A 27,147-nucleotide genomic window follows, 5' to 3' on the forward strand; every position below is an offset into this window, starting at 1 on the left:
ATATTTCATAGTATATTTTATTTGTATTATTTCTAAATTTAAAAATGAGCAAACGTTTTCTTCATATAAAGATTCATTTATTTTGATTCAAAAATCAGAATGTTTTCAGAATAATAATAAAGTCAAATATTTTTAGATAATTACCTTAAGCTAGACATTGTAAAAAGAGCTTTACATAAAATAGTTAAAATATTTAATCTTCTAGTGGAACATTTGAGATAGGTATATTATAGATATAATAACAATGAACTTGCTAACATTGCCAATAGTTACGCAGCCTGTTAGTGGCAAAGAGGTTTTAAATCCAGTTCTGCTGGAATATTTGCCCAAACCAGTCTTAACTTGAACATAGATCTCAATCATAAAATTATCTCCCTATAATTTTATTTTTAAAACAGATACCATTTATATGCATACAGAATTTTTTTTCTTTTTTCCTTTCAAATCATTTTGCTATTACACTATTAAAATAATTCAACTTTGTAAAGGGGCAGAGATAGAAAAAAACCCAAACCCTTGTATTCATAGGATATGTGAGGCGTTATATCAGTTCCTTATGTGGGTTTCCCATTCATCCTCATTAGAATAATCTGCACTGGGTATTTTTATTTCCATTTTACAGATGAGGAACCCTAATATCAGAGAAGGTAAACAAAACATGCTGTCATAGCTACACAATTGACATATTTTAGAGGCAGGATTTAAATTCGATGTGATAGAATGTCAGTAGCTTTGTTCTTTGTATTGAACCATCCATATTTGACTGTGACCTTCTCCCTAAACTGCTTTTCTCAACATGTGGAGGGATCAATAATGAATGCATGACAAGTGTCAGGCTTGAGGTAGATACTTTTATTAGTTTATCTCATTTAATTTTCATATAAACCATGCTATTTAGAAATTTGTTGTTTTATGTTAGAACTAAGAAAACTATGAATTAAAAAAATTGTATAATTTACCTAAGGTCTTACAGTGCCAATTAGTATCTTAAAGTACAAATTTATCTTATTTCAAAATTTCTGAATACAAAACTCTCTGGAGACCTTTTGGACTCCTCTGTTAATGCAGGGAAAATAAAATATATTTCAGTATATACAAGAAAGAAAATAGAAATCTCGTGATATTTGATGTGAGCATACAGAAGACTGGTATACTCAGTTATGTAAGAACTAAGAATTCCATCTCCTTATTAGACAGGTCTCAATTTTTCTAGTAACAGTGAGAAAACTCAAGAAATCAGGAAACAAGATAGAATTATCCTCCTATCACTAATTTCCACTACAGGACTGTCATTCATTTGACATCTCAACTTTTTAAAATATATTCCAAAATTATTATCCAAATCCCTAGAATATGTATAGCTTATTAATGTGATATTCCAATTTATTCACATACTGTTTTACCGAAATAAAACAGTATGTGAATAAATTGGAATATCAAATTTAATGTGTTTTAATACTATTATAACACGTATTTAATACTATTATAACATTTATTTCCTTCTCTATTTACAAATTATAGACTAAAATTTGGCTGCTTGTAAGCTTTAGTTATTAAGTGGAATTATACTTAAATTTTATTTCTATTTGAAGAACATATTATTTTAGAAGTTTTTTAAATATATAAAATAATAAATTGTGCTTGCTTTTGGTTTGAATTACATTTGGTATTGAAAAGTTTGTCATTTTACTGGTTCTATACATATTCTAGCAATAAATCAAATACAGTTTGAGTATCATGGACATTTATGAGCTGAATTATTCATGCTTGGCATTTCATAAATCCAAAGAAAATTCTAAGTGTGAAAAAATGGTCTTTCTATGGTGTGGTAATAGTTATTTCTTGAGATGGGCCGAGAGTCTCTTTGTTAAGGATCTTTCTCTTAAATGATGTCCACCTGATAAAAGTAGATGCTAATCGTTCTTTGTGTCAGTTTGATGGTTTACTTTGCTAAGTTTCACAAAGCAAAAAAGGGTTTATCTTGGACAGTATGAATTTGAAAGGTATATATATTGGAGGTGGCCAAGGCCATTCGTGTAGTGATTCTCTCTGTTAGAACAGTGAGCAGTGTGTTTCTCACCATTGTGATCTTGAAATGGAGTATTCATTTAATGCTAAAGAGTGAGAGGCTTTTATCTTTGGGAAAGTTATCCTTATTCATTCCATTTCTAACTCTTCAGATCCATTCTCAACCTGCTCATCTCTCTACAAACTCTTGGTACTTTGCTCTCTGAAAATCTTCTATTGCCATCAAACTGAATCTTCACCTTGTATCTGACTAGTGACACTTCTTCTCATAAAAGACTTTCAATAGGACATTTCTCATGTTCCTTCACATTTAGCATCTTACACAGGTGGAAGGGCTGATGTTTTAATAGCACTTCTTCACCCACTCACACTCATTTTTCTAACTTGAAAACTGGGCATCATGCTAAAGTATTTCAATAAACCGCAGATGTCAAATTCTTAACTCTCACAGATTTGTTTTTTTCTCACTTCCTCTGCTCCAGTCTACTTCAGCAACCCACTCCTCTGGTCCCCAGGACGTAATCGTTTCCAGAACTTTTCTGCATTAAGTATCTTAAACTCCAAGATTCACTCTGACTACCTCTCAACCTTGATATCACTGCTCCTCTAGTTTCGCCTCTTGAAACACTTAGACAATTCATTGCTCCCTCCTATTCTAGTCACACAACCTTTCCTATGTTAATTTCTTTTGTTATGTAACCTAGATCAAACGGCAAGACAACTCCACCGTGCTCTGACCAGAAATTTTCATTTATATGCTCTGTTATTCTCAACCTTCAATGCAACCTCAATGAATGGATCCTGACATCATTTGTAAGACACTGGTAAAGACAATGCCAAGGACATACGACCAGCATATTTTGTCCACGGATCATTTTCAACCTCAACTGTTTATTGATCATTACCAATGTCAATAATAGACTGCTTTTCTCACTGCTAATGAAAATCATCTTTGTTTTTATGAACTTTTGAGCCATCTTCTGCTGTCTCCATAGAAATTGCCATGCCATCTACTTAACTGAACTAATAAAACCTGTCAAACAGGATATTCCTTGAATTCCCTTGACCCTCCATCTTACTTATATTTATATATCTACATTCTTCCTCCCAATCTCAGAGAAAGAGAACTCCATTTACAGCCCACACCTTTCCCTCCCAGCCAGGTCTTCAATCTTGGCGTACACGAGTCCTCCATTACCCTGGTTTGTGAATTAAGTTCTCTTTTCTGAAACTCTTTCCGTCTCTCCCCTGAGAAACTCCTACCCTAAAAAACTAAATATCTTTCCATCCTGTATCAGTCATGGTTGCAGCAGAAAACAGATGGTATACTAAAATTAGTTTAACTTGAGTGGAATTTTATAAAGGGGGTATTTACAGAGAGGTGGGGACGATGTAAGGAAAGCAAAAGGGAGAGTGAAGTACTACAGACCAGTAATTGTGGCACCTTTACCACCTGGCAGTGTGAGGTTAATGTTGAAGATTTGCTGTGGTTACTGGACTAGGAGGCAGATAAAGCCCTCTGGAAAGGACGGCCTGACAGTGACTGTGATCTGAGGTTGATAGATTCAGCCACTGGCCCACTCACAGATGTGAAGCGACGGCCATAAACACCCAGAACTCATTTCTTACTCACCTTTCTTTCTCCCATCCTACGAGCATCTGCACTGATTTAACTCAACAGGCAGTCAAAAGACAAGGGAGCCAATTGAGTTAGTATGTCAGCCTTGCAGGGCATAGCGCAGGTAAGAGAAGGCTGGAAGGTGAATGTGGAGATGAACAAGTGAAATATTTATCTTATCTTGATTTTCTTTACCTTCTCAGCTCTTCTCAGCAACTTGTGGATCCTGGAACTTAATCTTTCAGGTGTTCTGTCTAACTGTGTTCTGTGTTCCCCTTACCCGAAGTGATTTTTCTATCTTCAGATATTTCTTTATTATTATTATCATTATTATTATTATTTTGAGACGGAGTCTCGCTCTGTCGCCCGGGCTGGAGTGCAGTGGCGCGATCTCGGCTCACTGCAAGCTCCGCCTCCCGGGTTCACGCCACTCTCCTGCCTCAGCCTCCCGAGTAGCTGGGACTACAGGCACACGCCACCACGCCCGGCTAATTTTTTGTGTATTTTTTTTTAGTAGATACGGGGTTTCACAGTGTTAGCCAGGATGGTCTCGATCTGCTGACCTCGTGATCCGCCCGCCTTGGCCTCCCAGAGTGCCGGGATTACAGACGTGAGCCACCACGCCCGGCCCAGATGTTTCTTTTCTAATATTGTTTTATCATTTTCATCAGGTAGTGAATTATCCCCTTTTGTACATTTCTGTAAAAAGCTTTACGTATCTCCAGTATAGGAATTTTTTCATTTTATGGTCCTGCAAATGCCTTTATAGCAAAGACTGTATCTCATGTCTTGATACATACTGTATTTATCATTGCTTGGTTCATGTTAGATACTCACTAATTATGTGTTTTATTAATTTTCAGGATGTTTCTCTTTCTATCAGTACTGAGTTCCCTAATGATAAACTGGTCATCTATATGCCAAATACAGTTTGTCATGAGTAATCCATTTAGGGTACAAATAAATAAGTGGCTATATTTGAAATGAAAATCACTTTCTAGAAGGTTTGGTAGTCCCAGTTACTGGTTTTTTTTTTTTATCTTGAGTTGCATAAATTGGAAAGGATGACCTGGAAACAAGGTCACAAAGATAACATTGGCATGAAAGACAATTCAAGGAAATTTGTGGGCAGAGGACCACATTGCCATTTTGGTGAAGCAGCTTTTCTTTCTTCAATGCTGTTATTGCAAAAGCACAGACAGAGAAAGTCATGTGGGGACGCTCAGAATCAAAAGAGACAAATTTACCACTAAAGACACATGCAGAATGTACTAAAATTATGGGTCTTATTTTTAAGAAAAAAATGTAAAAGAAACAATCTACCACAGTATAATAATTTTGAATTTAAATATATACATTTAATCTACTGTGCATTTTCTCTTCAGTAGTATATCTATCAATTCTGTATGCATTGCAATGAAATATTTACCTGTCTCTCCCTTTAATCATCGGAGAAGTCTGCATTCTTATATTAAGAATTGTGCTAGAGTAGGTTTTGTCACATTGACAATGTGGAATATCATCTTTTGACTTTTAGGAATAGTTTTTTTTCAAATGACTTCATTTTTCACATACTATACGAGCATTCCTGCATGACTTACCTTGAAAAAGAGAATAAAATGAACTAAATATACATGCTTTGACATCAGTGGCCTTCCTTCCTGCCAATTTAATGAAAGACTCTACAATAAACTTTTCATGGCAATTGTGAGAAAATAACATTTCTTTTTCTTAATAAATCTTGTTTTTCTCTTGCATGCTGAGAGATTTTCAGTAATATTCTCTCTATATATCTTTTTTTAGTTATCATTGTTTGCATAGAGGAAAAGAGAGAATAAGGAAAAATTCTACTTAAAAAAATTACAGATAAAAAAACATAGCTGATGTTTTGCTTTCGTTTTTAATTAAGCCAAATCAAAAGCTATGTCTCCATTCTTCTGTGCTATCATTTTTGCTTTTTGAGATGATAAAGTCACGTTGTTTTTACAAAAATATGAAATTAACTAGTTGTGAGGACACTATTCTCTAGCTGCCAACAGTAATTAAAAATTGGGTTTATTCCCTAACGACGCATTACATTTCACACTTCCCTGATTGGAATTTTACTCCCAAGGTGCTCACTGAATGGGAATTTAAAGTTTATTTTTAGGTAGCTTCTTTGTGTTTACACTGTTTTCTTTCATAGAGACAGATATAACTAAATGCCATGGTAGAGAATTTTCCACACTCTGAATTAAGTTGTTAGGTGTGTTGAAATATACCCAAGACAAGCATTATCCCCTTTCTGTAGCCACTCACAAACATGTTTGGCATAAAATCTGTTATTCCTTATTCCTTGTTATTCCTTGTATTGTAACTATATTCCCTGTATTTCCTGATGCGGTTATATTGTCAGGGACTAGAATATTGGAGCAAATAAAATGATAGGGAAGAAATGATCTAGAAAGGGAAACTATGTAGTAGAGAAAGGAGTGAGAGAAAAGCAAGGGAAAGAATGACAGTTTGAGGTTTTATGAAAGTGTTTTCTGACCAATTAAAAGTTTCTGAATATGTGTAGTTTGTGTGTGGGGAAAGAGAATGCAAGTACAATATATCAGGATCAAAAAGAGAAATGGCCTAAGTGATTAGGAATCAAAAGCATATGTAGGTTATTCAAACCAGTGTGCCACAGGGTAGTTTTGAAACCCACTTCTGAGGCATGCATTGTCATGTCTTCCTTTATATATGTCCATTATTAATATGCTAATATTGGTATTTCCAATATTTATGGTCATCACGTTTTTTAATTTTTAATTTTTGTGAGTACATATTAGGTGTATATATTTATGGAGTACAATGAGATATTTTAATATAGGCCTACAATGTATAATAATCACATCAAGGTAAATGAAGTGTCCATCAACTCAATTACTTATCCTTCCTTTGTGTTATAAACAATCCAATTATAGTCTTCTAGTTATTTTTAAAGGCATGCACAAGAAATTATTGTCTACTGTGTCACCCTGTTGTGCTGTCAAATGCTAGGTCTTATTCATTCTATCTAACTATATTTTTGTGCATATTAATTGTACCCATTCCCCCTTCTTGCCCCCCACACTACGCTTCCCAGCTTCTAATGAGTTCAGTTGTTTTCATTTTTAGCTCCCCAAAGTATGTGAGAACATGGGACCTTTGCCTGGCTTATTTCCCTTAACATAATGACCTCCAGTTCTATTTATGTTGCTGCAAGTGACAGGATCTCATTCTTTTTTACGGCTAAATAGTACTGTCTTGCATATATGCACCATATTTTCTTTATCTATTCATATGCTGATGGACACTTAGTTTGCTTCCAAATCTTGGCTATTGTGAATAGTGCTGCAATAAACATGGGAGTGCAGATATCTCTGACGTATTTCCTTTCTTTTGGGTCTATACCTACCAGTGGGACTGCTGGATAGTATGATAGCTCTATTTTTTAGTTTTTTGAGGAACCTCCATACTGTTCTCCATAATGGTTGTACTAATTTACATTCCCACCAACAGTATACAAGGATTTCCCTTTCTCCACATACTTGCCAGGATTTATTATTGCCTATCTTTTAGATAAAAGACATTTTGCTTTTTTTTTTTTTTTTTTTTTTTTACCTCCTGAGACAGAGGCTTGCCCTGTCACCCAGGCTGTAGTGCAGGGCACGATTTTGGCTCACTGCAACCTCCACCTCCTGGGTTCAAGCAATTCTCCTGCTTCAGCCTCCCAAGTAGCTCGGATTACAATTGCCCACCACCACACCGGGCTAATTTTTGTATTTTTAGTAGAGACGGAGTTTCATCATGTTGGCCAGGCTGGTCTCGAAGTCCTGATCTTGTGGTCTGCCCGCCTTGGCCTCCCAAATTACTGGGATTACAGGCATGAGCCACCATGCCTGGCTGATAAAAGCCATTTTAACTAAGGTAAAATGGTATCTCGCTGCAGTTTTAATTTGCATTTTTCTAATGATAGTGATTTTGAGCACCTTTTCGTCTACCTGTTTGCCACTTGCATGTCTTCTTTTGATAATTGTCTATTCATATTTTTGCCCATTTTTAAATCCGATTATTAGATTTGTTTCCTACAGCGTTGTTTGAGCTCTTTATATATTCTGGTTATTAATTCATTGTCTGATGGCTAGATTGCAATTATTTTCTCCCATTCCGCTGGCTGTCTTTTCAGTTTGTTGACTGTTTCCTTTGCTATGCAGAAATTTTTTGACTTGATATTTACCCATATGTCCATTTTTGCTTTGGTTTCCTGTGTTGTGGATTCTTCCTCAAGAAATGTTTGCTTAGTCCACTGTCCAAGAGAGTTTTCCCCAAAGTTTTCTTGTAGTAGTTTCATAGCTTTAGGTCTTAGATTTAAGTGTTTAATCCATTTTCGTTTGATTTTTGTATATGGGGGGAGATAGGACTCTAGTTTCATTCTTCTACATGTGGGTATCCTTTTTTCCCAGCACAATTTATTGAAGAGACTGTTCTTTCCCTAAGGTATGTTTTTTGCACTTTTGTCAAAAATGAGTTCTCTGTAGATGTATGGATTTGCTTCTGGGTTTCTCTGTTCTGTTCCATTGGTCTATGTGTCTGTTTTTATGCCAGTATTTGATCATTACTTTTATGAAATCTACTTTTTGAGTAGTAATTACTATTCTTTATGCTTTTCCTCTAAAAATGTTTTTCAGGAAAATATCTATTCATTGCTTTAAGCAATCTAAAGTTATAGAATAAATAATCGTAACTGCTGTTTTATCTGCCTGTAACATAGAGAGCACAGTGCTAAGCATTCTCCTTCATAGTTATTATCCATTACATTAGCATTAATGACTATGTATCACTATCCCTCATTTAAAAATTATGTAAAAAGAGAAATACACCTTTAAGTAAAGGACATATAAGAATGTTAGGTTTTGGTTGTCATACATTATTTCTTACCTATGCTTGGTTTTTGTTTGCTTGTCTGTTGTTTATCATTCTGTTTGATTCTGAGTATTTCCTTCTGTGGTTCTGAAGCACTGTTCACATCTCCAACATAATGTGCAGCATTTCTTCAAACAATCTAGAGAGTAGCACTGGAATTTAAACTAGACATACATGTAAAAAAAAATCATTATTAGAAAGAATGTTTTAAAATAAACTAGATAAATTTTAAATAATTATAAGCAGTTGATTCAGGAGTAAAGAGGAAAAAAATAACTTAACGACTTAAAATAAGCCTTTAAAAAATAACTTAAAGACTTAAAAATAACTTAAACTTAAGCTCCAATAACTCTTGGAGCTATTGACAACTATGAATTTGTAATGAACTTTTCTACCCACTCAGGAGACTAGGATAGTTTCTAAAAGCCATTTGGGTTCTCTTGCCTATTAGGTTGGTGCAAAAATAATTGCAGTTTTTGCCATTACTTTTAGTAGCAAAAAAGAATGTTATCCTTCAAGCTAGAAGTAACTCTATTATATCCCGTTTTCTTTATAATTGCTTTTAATGGCAAAAACTACAATTACTTTTGCACAAACCTAATAGTTTAGTTATGTCTCTTATAACAATATTTTAAAATATTCTTTAATCTTAGGGGTAAGTAATTTAAGAAAAACTGAACCCACCCTGTAAAATTGACTATGGTATTTCTGGTAAAACTACATTATGGGATTGCTATTAAGATATGATTCTGGCCAGACGCTGTGGCTCATGCCTGTTATACCAGCATTTTGGGAGGCTGAGGCAGGTGGATCGCCTGAGGTCAGGAGCTCTAGACCAGCCTGACCAACATGGTGAAACCCCGTCTCTACTAAAAATAGAAAAAAAAAAAAAAAAAAAAAACTTAGCTGGTTGTGGTGGCAGGCGCCTGTAATCCCAGCTACTTGGGAGGCTAAGGCAGGAGAATCGCTTGAACCTGGGAGGCAGAGGTTGCAGTGAGCTAAGATTGCGCCATGCACTCCAGCCTGGGCAACAAGAGTGAAACTCCATCTCTAAAAAAAACAAACAAACAAAAAGATATGATTCTGCTTTACTGTCATTGTAGTGTTGGCTGTAGCCAAGAGTAGTTATAGTGGTACATATGAATGGTGTCTGTTAGCCATCTTTCTCGTATTTCCCTGCTAGTGCTTCTCATATTTTCTCCTTTATGCAGTGGACATGTAGATTTGCCAGATCAAAGCCAATGTGTTACATCTGCAAGGACACTCACTATTTATATGTGTGGTTGCCCAAAGTTCACTCTTGAACGTACAAGCTCTAGGCCTAGATTAGAGATCACTAACCATATGTTACTCTTGCCTTTTCTATTTCTGTTCTTAGTTGCTTTTGCAGGAGATGCAATGATCTTTTGTTACCATTTTCAAATGATCTCTGCAATGCCTTCTATCTTTACAGCAGCATGGAGGGTGGGAGTCTCCATTCTGTTTCTTTAAAAGAATATCATCTGGCCTCACTGTGTGGTAGACTTTTCTCTCCTACTAAGAAGGGCTTTTCTTTATGTTTGTCCCCTTTATCTTATTGCATTATATATGCCTTGGGACAGAGTCTTTCCTAAAAACTTGGCTACTTAACAATTTAAAACACAAATCTACATGCAGTCTCTGCATATAAGAATGTCATCCTTCAAGCTAGAGGTGAATATTATATCCTCTTTCTTTTTAATTTCTGTGCCTTTCTTGATTATTTCTTTTCAATATACTTTCTTGCTTTAACTTTTTCTTTCTCCATTTCATCCCATTTTTTAATTACAAATGTATTTACCAGGCTAATATTAGCCTCACTGGTGGCCGGAAAACTAAAAAAAAAAAATAGTTATGAGTTCTTAGTTGGACGTTACAGTGAGGAACAGAAAAAGTTTTTTAAAATAAGCAAAGTAAAAATACCAATGCCTGGTATAGTTTGTGGTCTTTTCTTAGTACTTAGTTAAGTGATGATTCCATAATTTCCTTAACCTCCTCTAAATTTTTGAAAATTCAGTTCAATTTCAGTTTCACAAATTTTAAGCATGAGTGCCAAGCAGCAAAAAGAGCAGCGTATGATCATCATTTTGTGAGACCTGAGGCAAATTTCTTCACAGTGGTTTCTTCACACATAAAGTAAAGGACACTTATGCATACTACAGACTGTTTAGTGAAAATTAAATAAGAAAATATATGATATGTGTAAAGTTAGCTTAGTTCACATCCCAGAATATAACAAGCACTTAATACATAGGTAGTTTGGCTTACTTCATTGTGTTTTATAACTGCTTTATGCTATGGGTCTCAAGGGATAAGTGGATAGCACTGTGTTTAAGAATTATCAAATGTGCCTGTTTCAGGCTGTAAACTCCTTAGATCTGATGTGTGACCTAGGCATCTACATTTTTTATATCAAGCCCAATAGGTGGCTTTGATGCTAATGAAAGGACCATGATTAGGAGCAGAGACTTGAGATTTATACATTCCTGAACTCAATCTAGTCTTTGACATTTACTAGCATGTTGCCTAGATTTAGTTATTTAAACATTTTAAGCTGATTTTAGTGGGGATAAATGAAAGATCTACTTAGCATATAGTAAATAATCAGCAAATCACTCAATTATAATCTAGTGGGAATATTTTCACATAAACAATTATGTGATGACCTCCCCAGAGTTGACTATAATGCCAAGATAAAAGAAAAAATAATCTTCCAACTTGCAATTATCTACATTATAAATAAATGCAAATGTAACAACTTTTTCATCCCCTTGTCATTATAAATCCATACTGAATGGAGGAGTTTGTATCAAAAATGTGCTTCTAAAATTATTTTTTAAACTCCTTCATAATTTTATATACTTATGTTGTTTTCATTATTTTCTTATAAACACAGAGAGAGAGAGAGAGAAAAGAGAGGAAGAGGAAGGCCAATAAATGGTGCAATCTCTGCCTCCTCGGTTCAAGCGATTCTCCTGCCTCAGCCTCCCGAGTAGCTGGGATTAGAGGTACCCGCAACCACACCCAGCTTATTTTGTGTTTTTAGCAGAGATGGGGCTTCTCCATGTTGGTCAGGCTGGTATCGGACTCCTCACCTCAGGTGATCCACCCACCTCGGCCTCCCAAAGTGCTGAGCCCCAACCATACCTGGCTGTAATAAGATTCTTAACACAGGAGAAAACAGATCATGTCCAGTCAGAGAATCTTTTTCTGTGATTTCTAAGATAATGTATTTTTTTTTTTTTTTGGCTTAAGCTGATTATTAGTGAGAAGAGTCTAAGTACCTTAGTTCCTTCTTACAATTCACCCTCCACCTTATAGTTCTAGTAATACAGTTTTAGCTTTTCCAAATAATTCAAGTATTGCATACATTTTCTTAAAGCTATGGTATACTGATAAAGACAAATGTATTTTACCAGTATTTTAGGACATACAACATACAAACATTAATTTTTACTGTCCCCTGCCTTCCTCTTAATCTATCTATATTTTCTTTTTAGTCCCATGTATACTATCTATCTTGAAAGAAAATTACAAAGGCAAGTAGCAAATAATGAGACCAGTAGGAAAGTGTGTTCCATCTGTAATGTTGCCAGCATCTAGTTAATTTAAATACTGAAAGATAAATCATGCACCTTGTCCTCCACACTCAACATCAAGAAGCGCAGTGAGCTCCTATTACTTGCTACTACTCCTCTTAACTGCGTAGCAATAACAGTGAGGGAGAAAAAGAAAAAACGGCTTCACCCAGCAATAGTTTCAGCAGCCAAAAGTTAATACTTCCTTTATACTTAATAAAAAGCAAAGGCTTCAAACCTTAGGCTGATTTCCATAAGACCAAACCTTCAGGCAGTATGACTGTAGTTCTAACATTCTCAGTTCATTGAAGGTAAAATTCCATGAGTTTTCACAGAATGAGAAATATAAGCACACAAATATTGAGTATTCTGAGCCTACTAATAAACCTAAAAGGAAGAGAACACTCTGTGCAAAGATTTTGAAAAATATGAAGGATAGATGGCCTCTGTGTAGTTAAAAGAACGTTTTAGGTTTCCATTCTTTCCAAACATTGACTCTAGATTTGAGAAACTGAAATCACTAAACCTATAAAGACCTTGGGTCAATGCAGATTTCAGGCTCATAAGCTGATCAGAGAATTAAATATGCCGTACTTGGAAGATCCTCTAAATAATTTATTTGTTCCTTGCCTTTGTTAGCATGTTTGTTTATTTGTTTGTTTTAATCAACAAGTCTATCTTTGTTCCACTGCTGCTGTTACCTGCAACTGAAGTGATAGAAACTCATTAATGCAGATTAGCGTCTGAAACTGAGCAACACTTACAGATTGCAATTCTTGTTTTCATTTTCCAAATATTCTCTTGGGTGAAAAAAAAAAAGCCAAGGGGCTAGTCGCTAGAGGAGAATTAAGCCATCTCAAACAAACAAACAATAGGTTTAATCCTGTTTTACTCTGGTGTTTATAAAACAGCAGATTACCCATGGTTGGAATAGATGTTCTGCTACTTTGCATTCTGATTATGGTAGCTAATGGCAAAAACACAAGCACAGTCCTGAAATTTCATAATAATGCATATTTTAATTCTTTCAGAAACAAAGTGATAAATTTTCACTACATTCAGCACTTTAATATCTGCTGAGATGGTATACTTTAGACCCAGAAGAAAGAATATATAAATCAGAATCTATGTCAAGGTGGTCTTTATTACATGAGCATTTTATTACATGATGTAAGAAATAATATTACAGGAGTTTGGCATGAAGTCAAACTCATCGCACAATATCAGATTTAAATACAGTATCATATTTTAATCTATTTTTGCCTTTGTCAAATTGACAGTCATCTTTTTCTTGTAATTAAATATCAGTTTGGACCCTCAGGCCTCTGAGACAAATTGGTTGTATTCTTATATGTTAAACACCGACTTAATTCAGTTCAATCTTTTAATTCTTCTTCCTTTAATTACTTAGTCTCTAAAACTAATAACTGGTTTTGTTTCTTTAAACTTATTGTGTAGTCTTGCCAAAGCAAATTGCTATATCTGATTTCATGTGAACGCCAAGTTGCTTAGCAACTTAAATCTGCCTTATATTTCATCTTTTTGCTTCCTCTTTAATCTCTAAATTTTTATCAGGGTGTAATTTTAGGCATATATCTATATTTACACAGATTTTTAAAAAATTCGCACAGTGAACAGTTTGTTCTCCATTGAATTTGTAGTTGTGTGTTTGCGTGGAGAGGGGGGCAAAGGACAGAGAGACGGAGTAAGAATAGGAGAAAGACGGAAGTGGGAGTCCGAAGAGGAAACGGAAGTGAATGAGAGAATGCATTTATAATATCCTATTCTTGTATCTTTCATGCTCTTAAATCGTATGACTTTTCCACCTTTATATGTAGTGCATATGTTCTGTTTTGTCTTCCAGGTACCAAGGCTCTTCTTTCTAACTTCAAGGAGTGAGGATTTAGTCATCTATACTAGTTCCTGCACAATTTCCTGCATAATTGGCATTCAGGCTCAGAAGACTCTTAAACCAGATCCAATTCAGAGCCTTGTGTGGTTTTATCCCCAGAGAGAAATTATCCTTTTGGGAGGTTTGTCATCTTTGTCAGGAAGAAAATGGTGTTACTGTTTCGTACTTTCATTGTGCCGTGGCAGACAGGCAGTGGCTTTTCAGCCAGGTCCATAAGCTAATTGTAGAAATGATGGAAAGTGTCAGAATGTAAAGAAAAAAAAGTCTTACAGTAAGTGACAGTTGTCACTTTGCTTATTTTCTGCTATTTGCTGTAATAGGCACCAAACTATAAAGGAACATTTGAAGGAGAAAAAAGGCTTGTTTCACACATGCATAATATTGAACAGAAATGAGCTTTAAATATTGGTGTACATTCCTTCAGAATGTAATTACCCTACATTACCCTATCAGTCACTCTTCTTCATCAGGGGCCAAAAATAATTTCTCCAGCGTCTCTCCATTCTTGCGTACCCACTCTCATCAATGCATACTCAGGGGTGTGTTGCTTACAAATCAGGAAAACAAATGGCAACAAGGAGAGTGAGCGCCCATTAATTTTGTGCTTTCTTTTTGAGAACAACAGCTTCAACCCAGCTATTAGTCGTCTTGAGCATGAAAGCAGTCTTCAAACTTGAAACAGAATTGTTGGTTTCAACGTTATGTTTTTATTTTTATGTTTTATGTTTTAGACGGGGGCTCACATTTAAATAAGGCTATTTCAATGCTTGTTTAGTGAATGCTAAATTAATTATAGTTTCCTTTTATGGAAGTTTGAGGGGTTTTTGACATCCTTATATTTTTTTTCCACTCTGCTTTTTTCTTTTATTGTGTGTGTGTTTTCATTTCTTTTTAGATGCTCTGCAATAAATGACTAAGACTTTTTTGACCGGGTTTCATTTCTTTTCCATGTCTATCATTTGCAAAATTTCAAAGGAACAATTTATTATCCGTTGTTTTTAAAATAAATAGCATTGAAAGTGTCTCTATATGCATTACAGCAGAACAGTTTTGAATAGCTTAAATGCCAACTAGTTGAATAGCTGCATATGGATATTAGCAGTCTCAGGTCTCTTCCAAACAACTTTCCTGGTGATGTAAGAAAGGTATTATAAAATGGTGTAGGGAGGAGGCTCAAGATCACCTCTACCATCTTTTTAGTTCTTAGTTGGGATCTTTGGTTGAGTCTAAGAACCAAATTGTCACAGACAGATTAATAGGCGGTAAACATACAAATGTTATTCATTTGTACATGCACATAGGGATCCACCACAGAGAGTGAAGACCTGAAGAAATAGACAAAGCAGAAACGTATTATACTTTTTAGACAAAGAAATGGTACTTCCATGAAGAAATGACAACACAAAGGCATTTGAGCTAGGGGTAGTAAATCATGGAGAAGCCCCTGGGAGATATTGGGTGGGGGGTGAAGCTAGTGGAAGATAAGGGTTATTTTAGTAACTTTATTTGTACAGATCCATTGCAACATCAATTCCAAGTCTTTAGTGATAAGAATTATTTTCTCGTCTCATGCAGGGAAGGTGCACTTAAAAGCAATTTTATGGCTTGCTACAGGTAGGAAGGGGCCAGTCAGATACTCCTTTCTGCAACTATTTCTCATTTTCTTCAGCTTGAAATAATCAATATGCCAAATATGGGTATGTTATAGGGTGCCATGTCCCTAACTCCTTCAGATGTATGGGCCCGTATATGACCATGAACATGTCTGTTAGGCCGGGTGCAGGGGCTCATGCCTGTAATCTAAGCTCTTTAAGAGGCTGAGGCATGAGGATCGCTTAAGGCCAGGAGTTTGAGACCAACATGGGCAACTTCGTAAGGCCCCATCTCTCAAAAAAGTAAAATAAAATAAAATAGAAAACTAGGGATGGTATACTCCTAGCTACTCAGGAGGCTGAGTTCAGAGGATCTCTTGAGTTCTGGAATTTGAGAGTGCAGTGAACTGTGATTGCCCTACTACACTCAAGTCTGGGTGACAGAGTGAGAGCTTGTCTCAAAATAAATAAATAAATAAAAGGTCTGACAACTTCAGGCACCATATGTTTCTCCTTAAGTCCCCAATACTGTCTTCCTTTTCTGGTCAAATTTACAATTATCCTTGTCTGGGGTACACAAAGCCACTTAGAAGAAACCATACTTTTGCTATTATCTATCATATAAAATTCAATATCCATGCAATAGAAGTATATATGAATGCTACCAAACTTCTAATTTTTTGAGTACCAGAAAAAAAGCTCCTATCATAAATAGGCAGCATGCTTTCTCCCCAACATTATGTCATACTATGTACCTGGGCCTCTAAATCTCCTTGTGTTCACTCACAATGTGAACACACAGTGGTTCAGCAGGGTTAATGAATATCCTTCAGAATCCTTGTGACCTAAGTAGGGAAAGGAACTAGATCATCCAACCACCTTGCTTCACCTTAGCTTATTGCCAACCAAAACATCTGTCCTTCCACCTAATACTACAAATGATCCTGTGCCTATGACTTAAGATGAATAGATTCTAAAATTTGTGCATTCCATATGGGTGAGAAGAAGCATGTTTCCTATTAGGAGCAGTTGGCCAAAACTGTACTGAATACAAGGTCATATCTATTCAGTAGTAAAAGAAATTAATCCCCCTACCCCCCACCATAAAAAAAGACCTGGGTAATGTGAGATTTAAAATGCAATCCTCAAAGCAGTTTGGCTTTTCTGCCAGGTGATGATTTGTTATAGCACTGAATGATGAAACTTGCTTTTCACAGAGAATTTTAGGTCAGTTGGAAGGATCTGTTCTCTCTGCATTATGAAGGGATACATTCCAGAAGAAATTAGCTGGGGTTGGTGTACCAACTTTGTAAAATTGCTTCCTCTCAGCAATGAGGATATCCTTTGATATAGATTACATTTCCTTCTTATACTTTCTGCCAAGTCTTTTCTGGGCTAAGATATTGTACAATGTTTTTACCTTTTAGGAATGAATTACCAACCAGACAGAGATGGTTCCAGGAAAGTCAGTTGCCAAGAAAAAACCAGTGAAATTCTTGGGTGGATATTTGGCATCCAAGCTAAGAATATCCCATTTATAAAAAAGTTTTAGTGTCTTTTTCTTTCTTTCTTTCTTTTTTCTTTTCTTTTTTTTTTTTGGAAGACTCTCAACTGATAGAGAGCCAGCTAGTGAATGGATATGGATTAGAAAAAATAATCCCTCAAACTGATATGTTTCCAACATTCTTCAAAATTGGGCCCATACAAAGAATGTCCTTTGGTTCATGATAGCTGTCACTGGATACAGAGCCTGGCACACTCTACTTCTATATGACCAGGTGTGCATAAGACATTGCTTTAAAAAGCCACTTCATCTTTGACCGTTAGCCTCGATTGTTTATTGTTGGTTTCCAGAAGCCCATTTCTTTATCACACATGTGATGTTGTCATTCTGTGTATCTTTCAAACATTTATTCTGATACCTAGGTTTGCTTTAATTATCTTACCTTAACTCGTTGGACACTGGAGGAAATCCTGAAGCTGAATATGCTATTAATGTGGCGCAAGATTTATTTCAGTTTTGGAATTCTTGTTTCTTTCTAGAAAATTGTGATAGACCTAACCTGGCAATTCTGTGTTATGTATGAGTTACATAAAATACAAATTTAACAGTAGAAAACAGAGTGTTCTAATCAGATAACTCTTTAAAATGTGTCCAGTTTTTGGTCTAGCTCATTTACACATTTTCTTCTTTGTGCTCATGCATTTTGATATAGGTATGTTTTATTTTACAATGTGGGCTATGTATAAGACAATCTCTTCTAGTGTAGGAAAAATTATTAGAAATGGTATTTCTATTTATTTTAATACTACTATCTCAGGGTTGGATAGATTTTGTGTATACTTTATAATGTTCCAAATCAGTGAATAAGGCAGTATATGTGTATATTTCACAGATAAAACTATGCATGCGTGAGGAGAATGTGTAGCCTTTTTTTTTGCTATGAATGTGCAATCAAATAAAGGTGGGAAACAAAACTGATGACATCTTTTAGAGCTCTTTCACACAAGAATATGTTGACAAATATTCAACACTCCCCTGATGTAAGCAGATATGTGATATCAGTTTCCTGGAACATGACTTGAATATTTCCTCTTAATAACTATACATTGGAAAAAGGTTCATATAATTTAACTAAAAAACACATTCCATATTCTCTTTTATATTTTTCATATTGGTCTATTCAGCAGCTTCCCTAAGTAGACATCTTAGGAACATTGGATAGTGTCTTTTCTAGTTGAAAGAACATCCCAAAAGATTGAAAAGTGGGTGAATAGAATCCAGAACAGGTGGTTATGTTAATTAAAACTGTATTATCTGCATTTTGATTGTATGTAGCGGTTTATGCACTGAGAAACTTGCAAACAATGTGTACAAATCCCATTCCTGAGAGGTCTAATTATTTTTAAGGAAGTTTAATAATTCTGACTACACTGCCAGTCATAAGTCATACTCATTCAATCGGCCTCTGGTGATGATTTGTTTAAAATAACCAAAGGACCTTATCATGTTGCGTTATTCCAAAATGCATACAAAGGTTCAGTAAACCAAATCTTTACTTCTCCTTCAGCTGCCATATTCCCAAATCCTTTACAATTTTCTTTTTTTTTTTTTTTTTTGGAGTCAGATCCATGAATTCATTGTGACCCCAGGCATGGAATTAAACTACCATTTCCACAACCAACAGCAAAATCCCACGGGGTCAATTATAGTTTTTGGTTTGTTTTGGTGATTGTATCTTATAAAGTGTAAAACACAGTATATCAGTTGCCAATACTAAGTTATAATGATATTTTTCAGCATGTAAGCATCTACTAATTAGTAGAAAAATGCAAATTTGCCTTATCTCTAAAGAATAAATCAAAGGATGATTTTACTAAGAACTATAATTTTAGGATAACATCTTAAAATTCTCATGTTATGTGACAATTAAAAATGACTAAATATAATTTAGAAAAATTATGAAATTAATATAAAACTCTTTTGCAATTACATTTACCTAGAGTAATTCTCATGGATAGACTAATGTTTTTAAAATGCTTTCCAAGGATTACCTCACAAAGCATTAAATCATGAAAATATATATTTTTAAATACTATTCATTACATGTAAAGACTGTTGTTACATTAGCATAAATAGTGATTAGAATATATATTCTCTTTCAGTGATCAATACACGTCATACATATAGGTGAGAATTTTTTATGACTCCAGAAATATCTTACCAAATTTCTAAAATAATAAACAATAGCTTATCATGTCCTAAAAAATAAGACATAAAAGGTTCTGCAGATGTATTTTTATAAGATGGAACCCATTAAATCAAGGTATGTAATAAGCAATATGATAAGTGACTTTGAAAAAGATTTTGCAAGATATTCCATAAGTTAACTTTTCTTTTTATATCACATTCCCTTGTGCAGTAAACCCCATCCAAATTTCTGTCATCATATTCCTTGGCTCCAGCCCTTTTCCTTTAGATCTGTCACCAGAGACACTGCATTTGCTTCTGTTGTAGAGCAAGAACACCCTTGCTGGTCACTCTCACACCACATTTTTGTCCTTCGTGACCTACCAGTTCTTTATACTCAGAGAACACGGTATAGTGCAAATCCTGACGGTAGGTTCTACAATTATGCTAATAGATTATAAAGGATTTGCAACAATGGAAATTACAATAAGGAGGTCCCCAAGGCTATTTTAATTTGTCAATTATCTCTCCAATAATGGGAACTTCTCATATAAATTTACATATTGTTTATTAAAAAATAGAAACAAAATTAAGGAGCAAGACCCTGCAATGTGTGATGGGAGAGAAGATCACAAAAGGGAGTAAATTTATTGAATACATACTGTATGCTAGAAACAAGGCTAACATCATTACATACAGTATATCTTTAACTTTCACAAATGGTTTTATAACTAACATTTATTTTATGCATAAGAAAATGAGGATAAGTAGCTTGGTAAAAATTAGGAGATACTTTATCCAATGGTCTACTTGAACTCCTATATCCAATTCTTATAAACTAGCTTACATAAAGTCACTCATATCTCAGCCGTGACCACTTTTGAATAATCAAGAAGAATATGACATACAAATTGAATTTTGAGAAATGTAAGAATTTACACTTCTTCTCATCAAACAAAGCAGAAGACTTTCTGCCTTTGCTGCTAATATATTGTTTTTGTGATGTGCAAGTTTTCTGCAGAGTGACAGTAATAACACAAGTCTGAAATTAAAGCCCCAACTTTTAATTAATGTATATCTACTATACAGAAACCTATTGGATCCATAATATGCTCAGCACCATGTTCTATATTTTCGGGAAAAGAAAAATAAAGCTCCAAATACTTTTTTTTCAAGGAACTCCCAATTTATTGCACTAATAGTTCAGATTCAGCATGTTAAGTGCCAAGACGATGTATGGAAAAAAAGATGATTGGTTCACAAATAAAGTAGTACATTATGTTATAGATAGTAGGAGAGTGATTTGTTTTGTTTTATGTAATAGGCACATTTTGACATTGTCTTAAAGAATCAATAAGAGTTACTGGACAAAAGGGATAGAGGAAGGTATTACAGACAGATGTGTTCAAATTTGAGAGACAGCATAAAGTGACTAAAACTATTCTTATCTGTGTATGGAAGATAAGTATAAAAATGGACAAGGAAACATTTCCCAGAGCTCATATCCCATGGTGAGGAGTTTGGATGCTAGGAGAAGAGATAAAATGATTACAGCTGTAACCAAGAAAGACTGTTGAGGCAGCAGAGATAAAATATCATAAGGAGAATTAAACTTCAGGAGAAGTCAGTTTGATTGTTGCAATAATCAAGCCTAGGTACCCTTAGGACTTAAATTAGGACAATTTCAACGAGGAGTGAGAAACAAAACTCAAAAATTATCAAGATATACTTAGGATGTGTAATTGAGAGAACGTGGCGATCATTTACATGTGGCATGAGAAAGAGGTGGTTGTTGTGGGAACTCCCAAGATTGCAGGTAATATAGAAGACAGGATGATGAGTTCCATTTGAGGTAGGTGATTTGCTATTCCATGAAACATAAAAAGATATACCAAGTAACCAGCCACAAATGGGTCCAAAGTTTGGTATAGACTGGAAACAGAAAATACAGAATGCACAATGATAGCTGAATCTTGGGCATAAAATAAATCAGCAAGAAGTAGTATTCAGAGGGAAAATGGAAAGAAAAGATGGCCAAGAATTGGATATATGGAAACATAGCATTTAAAGTTTATTAGGGGAAAAATAATGGATGGTAGGAAGGGAAAAACACAGTCTTAGTGAGAATGAAGTAGGGGATTAAAAAAGTTTCAGGAAAAAGGCAGTGGTTAATTGTATCATGTGGTAGAGTGATTCATTCCGATGAGGATAATGGCTAATTGGCCTGGTGGTTCAGCATTTAGATCATTAGCGATCTTAGTGGGAACAATTGCAGTGAAGTAGTAAAAATGAAGTCAAATTCCCTGGGTCTCATGAATTGAAAGTGAAGTAGTAATACAAAAATATAAACTAGTTTTTCAAGAACTTAAGTGTGAGAAGTGATGGAGATAATTAAACCTACATTTGTTGCAGGTTTAGTTTATTTATTTATTTATTTATTTATTTATTTATTTATTTTTGAGATGGAGTCTCACACAGTCATCCAGGCTGGAGTGCAATGATGCGATCTCAGCTCACTGCAAGCTCCGCCTCCCGGGTTCACGCCATTCTCCTGCCTCAGCCTCCCGAGTAACTGGGATTACAGGCTCACACCACCACACCCGGCTATTTCTTTGTACTTTTAGTAGAGACGGGCTTTCACTATGTTGGCCAGACTGGTCTCAAACTCCTGACCTCGTGATCTGCCCGCCTCAGCCTCCCTAAGTGCTGGAATTACAAGTATGAGCTACTGTGCCTGGCAAATATTTTTCTTTAATTTATTTGTTTCCTTGTGATCTGAGAGAATTCTTTAAAATTCTGCATAGAATCTATATTTAGATTGCAGAAAACAGCTTTAAAAAATAAATATTAACACCTAGGTGATGTGGTGTTCAGTTGTTCCTGAAAACTAATAATATGATGAAAGTTAGATAGATAATTAAATTCTCATCCAACTTTTTCAGTAGCATAACTTTCAGTAATTTAATATCACATTTTTTTCCCTTATACTCAGGCTGCTACATTTAATAGAAGTTCCCCACTTACCTCACCATCTCCCCACTGGCCATATCTTGGGCTGGACTCCTTCTTGACTCCACCTTCTTGACCACGAGGAAAATAAAATTATTCAGTCATTTCATCGGCCTTCTTGGGAATCAATATAATCTTTATGGGGACCCTGAGGCAGATGTTGTGGAAACAGAGTGTATCCAAGATTGCTCTCGGTGTTCTGTTGGGGGCTATGTATTAGTGAACATTGCTCATCTTGCTCACTGACCAGGAAGCCACTGGTCTCCAATAACTCCTGTAGGAATTCAGAGGCTGCTTAAGGCTAAAGATGACCAGGTAGGAGGCTCTAACTGCCTTAGAACCCAGGAGTAAAAGGGTCAATATACTGAAGTACACCTGTACCCCACATGCAGAACACTTGTTGCACAGCTCTGACCTAAAATAAATAGAAAATACCATAAAATAATCAAAGTATATCAATGAAAACTCCGGAAATATGTCAAAAACTTCAAAGTTTGCTATGGACCAGAACAAAATGCAGCTAAAGATTTTTCCATGACTTATTATAATGAATCAGCAATCATTTGCAGAGAGCTCTACAATTTTCTAAATATATTTTATCTCATTTGATATTAAAAACATTAAGTAGGAAAGGAGATAGTATATGCATTTTAAAATTGAGGAAGTAGAGAAGTGAGAGATCTAGAAATAAAATGGCTTGCACAAATGTTAAAATATGGTCTGTAGGTAGCAGATGCATTTCTAGAATGGAATTAACCTCAGTTATTTAAGATAACTATAGAAAAATTTGCCACAAGCGATATCTGCACCTAATTCTATATTCTTAACATTTAATAAGAGGTATTCAAATTGTGGAAACTACATTTAATTCTTTTTCCACAGTCTTCCCTCCAATCCTTTAAAAATTATGACTGTGATACATAATCGCTGTCTGAAAACACAGGACAAGAAGTATTGAATTCTTCAAGTTACATATTCTAGGTACTGATGACCAAGGTTGCAGGGATGTACTCCTTTCTTGTGTCAGTTTAGACTTGGCATGAAGGAGCATACAAGGACTGCCGCTGAAAAGCCTGCCAGCCTGCTTCATGCTATTCTTAAAAGGAAGAGCAAAAAAGGCTCGAGGCCTTTCCAAAGCTTATGTGGAGACTAGCCAGACTTCTGGGATTCAGAATGGCTTGATGACTTCCTCATCTGTCACTTGAGCTGCCCTGACATTCAAAAACTTTGTAGAAGTCCTTCTAGGTATAAAGTTAACGTCATTAAGTGACTCTAAATATAGTTTGAAAAAATTAAGTCCTACCTCATATTATCAGCCCCAAAAGATTTTATCATGGCTGGGGCCATTTTTAAAATAAGTTTATGAAGGCTATTCAACTGTATCTATTAGAACAGAGATCTTCACCATATGACTAACTGTAGATTGCTTCTTCACCAGCAGCCATGAATACCTTGCAATCATATTAAATGCATGAATCTTAGGATATATACATATAGGTACTTTAGGTTGAAACGATCACTGGAGATATTTAAAAATATTTTTATCAAGGTCAAAGCTACTCCCAAAGTATAGCTAACTGAAATGAATATCCAAGATCCCATTGTAGGGACGGGGGGAGCTGTGTTACTGATGATTTGGCAGCATCTTAAGAAGACTACTAATGGTGGCATCACTACCAATGAATTTATTTAAGTGCCAGTATGTATCTAAATTACCCAGAAATAACTCCTAGCCTCCTCTGAAAGCAAAAGGGGTAGACACGCCCTCCATACCTTTCCACAAATTTCCATCTATCTCTCCATGAGGCAAATTTCAATTATTTTGTCAAATCATTTCTTTTCCAGAATGCATTAAATTTTTGTTTTAATTTGATATCATTATTTAAAAGAAAAGAAAACGGGGCATTGGGCCTGGGGGGAAGTAAAGCTAAGAAATTATTTCTGTGGGATTGCTAGGATGCAAACTCCCCACTGAGATATTGCAAATGAAGGGATTTTTTAAATTACACTATTTGCATTCCAGAGCCTAGAAATGGGGGTTGAGGAGCCAAGAGTTCTGGAAGTTGCAATGTAATTGGAATAGCTAAACCAAATCTGGAATTTCACAATAACTGCCTAGCATATTCCATGCCCAGGATATGGCATCTGAATATAAAATCTAGAGGAGAAAACCCATGATATGACAATACTTTCCCTCATTCCAAATCATATGTCTCTTAAAATAGTCTTTTATAGCTAGATGCAATTACTGAAATGTATTTATGATTCAACTGTGATTGAAGCTATTTCCCCGATTGGATAATAATGCAATTAAATATGTCAGTGAAGCTAAGGTTATAGATGAATCGAGAAAAATCTCTGGTAACATGGATTAGGCTACAGCAACATGTCCAACCCTCTCTCTCTTTCCAATAACAACTGACATAAATCAAGTATTACCATTGACTTATATTGTTACCCTACTCCACAAACCCTGTACAATAGGGTTTTATACAGGAGTTTGATAACTGTTTGCTTGACAAAATTAAATTGAGTGATTCTCAAACTCTATCTGGGGTCTTTTGATTCTGGCCACACGGGTTCATTTTCTTTTGCAAAATATGCCACACTCTCAGGTAACCAATTGCCTCACCTAACAGAAGTACTAATTTTACAGTATATTGGTCTAATCCAATGCCATTTTCTTCAATAAAAAATCAACTCTAAATTCTAAGGAACAGAGAAGTCATTTTTATAAGGCAGTTTGCCCTTGGAGTAAACAAAAATGTGTTTTTCAATCGTTCCCTTGAATTCCTAATTTATATAACTTGTAATTTTAAAACCATTCTACTTTTAAAACATGTATTTCAATTAGTTTAGATTTGCAAAATGTTTATGTTAAGTATATACAGCAATGTCTTTTATATTACAAAAACCATATAATTACATTTTTCAGACATGAAAAATGAATTAGTGCTGCATTATATGTGGTGACAAATTTTCTTGTTTGTTCTAATTTCACTGAATAGCTACAGTAAGCTTCTTTGGCACAGTTTAGAATAGCTCATTTGGCTCTCAATGCAAAACTTTGGTTAATATGAAGAGACCAGTACTGTACTAAAGAAACAAATCACATTTTTAAGATTCTAGAAGACAAATACCAGTATCAAAGATTTTCCAGTGGAATATCAAATATGATTCAAAATTGCTAATGATAGGCAAAGTATTTGCCAAACTAGTAAAAAATTATTTAACTTATATAATGAAGGCTAAAATGTTCAGAGCTAAAGCAAAAGTTTGAAGTTACTATAAGATCAAAAGTAGTTAGCTATGTCATAAAACTGTCAAAAATAGTAATGGGAACTTTGGATGAATAAGAATATAATACACTGTCACCAAGAGGTGATCATGCTATCTCTACTTTGTTCTCCTTGTCCTATCCCTGCAGTTGGGGACTGTATTTTAAAATTATATTGATAAACTGGAGAGCACATACAGGACAAGTGACCAAGAATTTGAAGGAAATAAAACATGACAAATTAATTGAAAGAACTGGGAGTGTTAAGTTAGAAGACAACATTTATGATGACCACAACCATAGTTTTTGAACACTTAAGGCTCTGTGGTGAAAAATGGATGAGTGACTCCCATAAAAGAGAATAATTTTTGGCAAATGAGCCATAGAGATATTGTATAAAGAAGAATGTTCTAGAAATTAAACTTGTTCCTCAAGCAAAAAGGCCCATTCTACAAATAGTGAATACCCAGTTCTTGGAGGGGATTAAGTAGAGTTTGGAATCGGAGAATTGTTTTTAGAAAAAATGATTCAGATGCTGGCTTAAACTAGATGAACTTAAATGTCCCTCCTTACACTGAAGTTCTCTGACTATGTAAAACTTTGTATAAATATGTCTTTACCATCTGGAATGGCTGCCACCCTCATGTTTAATTAGTACAACCAATCAAAATCTGAGGTCTCTTTTCAGATGGAAATGTTTTTAGTTAATTGAATTTCTTATTTTAACAGAACAGATTCCTGTAGTCCTCATGATTGCAAAGAACCTTCTGTGATATTTCTTCTGTTAAAAGAGCAAAGTAATTTCAAAATGCTTTATTTAATTATCACACTAATCATCTACCTTAAGAAGTGTATCCTTAAAATTTGTTGTCATCAGTATTTACCGAGAGCCTATTATATGTAAGGCAGATATAATAAAGGTTCTTTGAATTAAAAACAGTGTCATAAGAGTGCAAGGACTTAAAACAAGAAGAAAGGAAGAGAAATTTTAAAGCTTATCTAATTGGAGGATCAGAAAAAGTTTCATGGGGGATGAGAGGAGATGGTATTTAAAATAGGTGTGAGCGATGGGAATTATTTGAATTGGCAGAGACAGAAGACTTTCTCTGAGTACAGGGAGCAGCTGGAGAAAATGGAAAGGAGGAAAAATATAAGGCTTATAGTAAATGAAGACTTCAATGAACTGAGAAATAATTCTGGAAATATGATTGGGGGATCTATGACATGGCTTTGTTAAGGCTTAGACATTTTGTATTTAATTCCATAGGTGACAAGGGATAATTAAGGGCTTTGAGTAGGTGAGCCATGGAATTACCTATTAGGAAGGCTAGTCTTATGAATTATATGGCATGGATTAAAGAGGGAAAGCATGGCTTCAGTAGAGCAGTTATGAGGTTATTAAAATTGTTTGAAACAAAGTTGGTACTAGTCGAAAAGGAGAAATGCGATCTTTGTTCCTATGTCATGTTTGGAAATCCTTGAATGCTTTTGGTTA

The 27,147-nt window shown here is 35.0% G+C and overlaps 1 protein-coding gene and 1 long non-coding RNA gene across 12 annotated transcripts in view, besides 1 other annotated feature; both read left to right on the forward strand.

Moving 5' to 3' along the window:
* The window catches only part of CADM2 (cell adhesion molecule 2), a 1,115,441-nt gene that overhangs the window by 68,555 nt on the left and 1,019,739 nt on the right, over positions 1 to 27,147 (forward strand). The gene's annotated exons all lie outside the window — the stretch shown is intronic.
* Positions 2,386 to 2,944: an enhancer, noted in NCBI's record as "NANOG hESC enhancer chr3:85079080-85079638 (GRCh37/hg19 assembly coordinates)". NCBI's record gives its function as "activates a minimal SCP1, AML or CMV promoter by ChIP-STARR-seq in naive and primed H9 embryonic stem cells {active_cell/tissue: H9 hESC(naive and primed)}" and the evidence as "EXISTENCE:reporter gene assay evidence [ECO:0000049][PMID:30033119]".
* On the forward strand, positions 11,490 to 21,384 carry LOC124906200 (uncharacterized). Its single transcript, XR_007096267.1, has 2 exons — positions 11,490 to 11,601; positions 14,036 to 21,384. It is a non-coding gene; the product is annotated as an uncharacterized LOC124906200 (long non-coding RNA).

Source organism: Homo sapiens, chromosome 3 (genome assembly GCF_000001405.40).
Source record: "Homo sapiens chromosome 3, GRCh38.p14 Primary Assembly".
In the NCBI taxonomy this organism is placed as follows: Eukaryota; Metazoa; Chordata; class Mammalia; order Primates; family Hominidae; genus Homo; species Homo sapiens.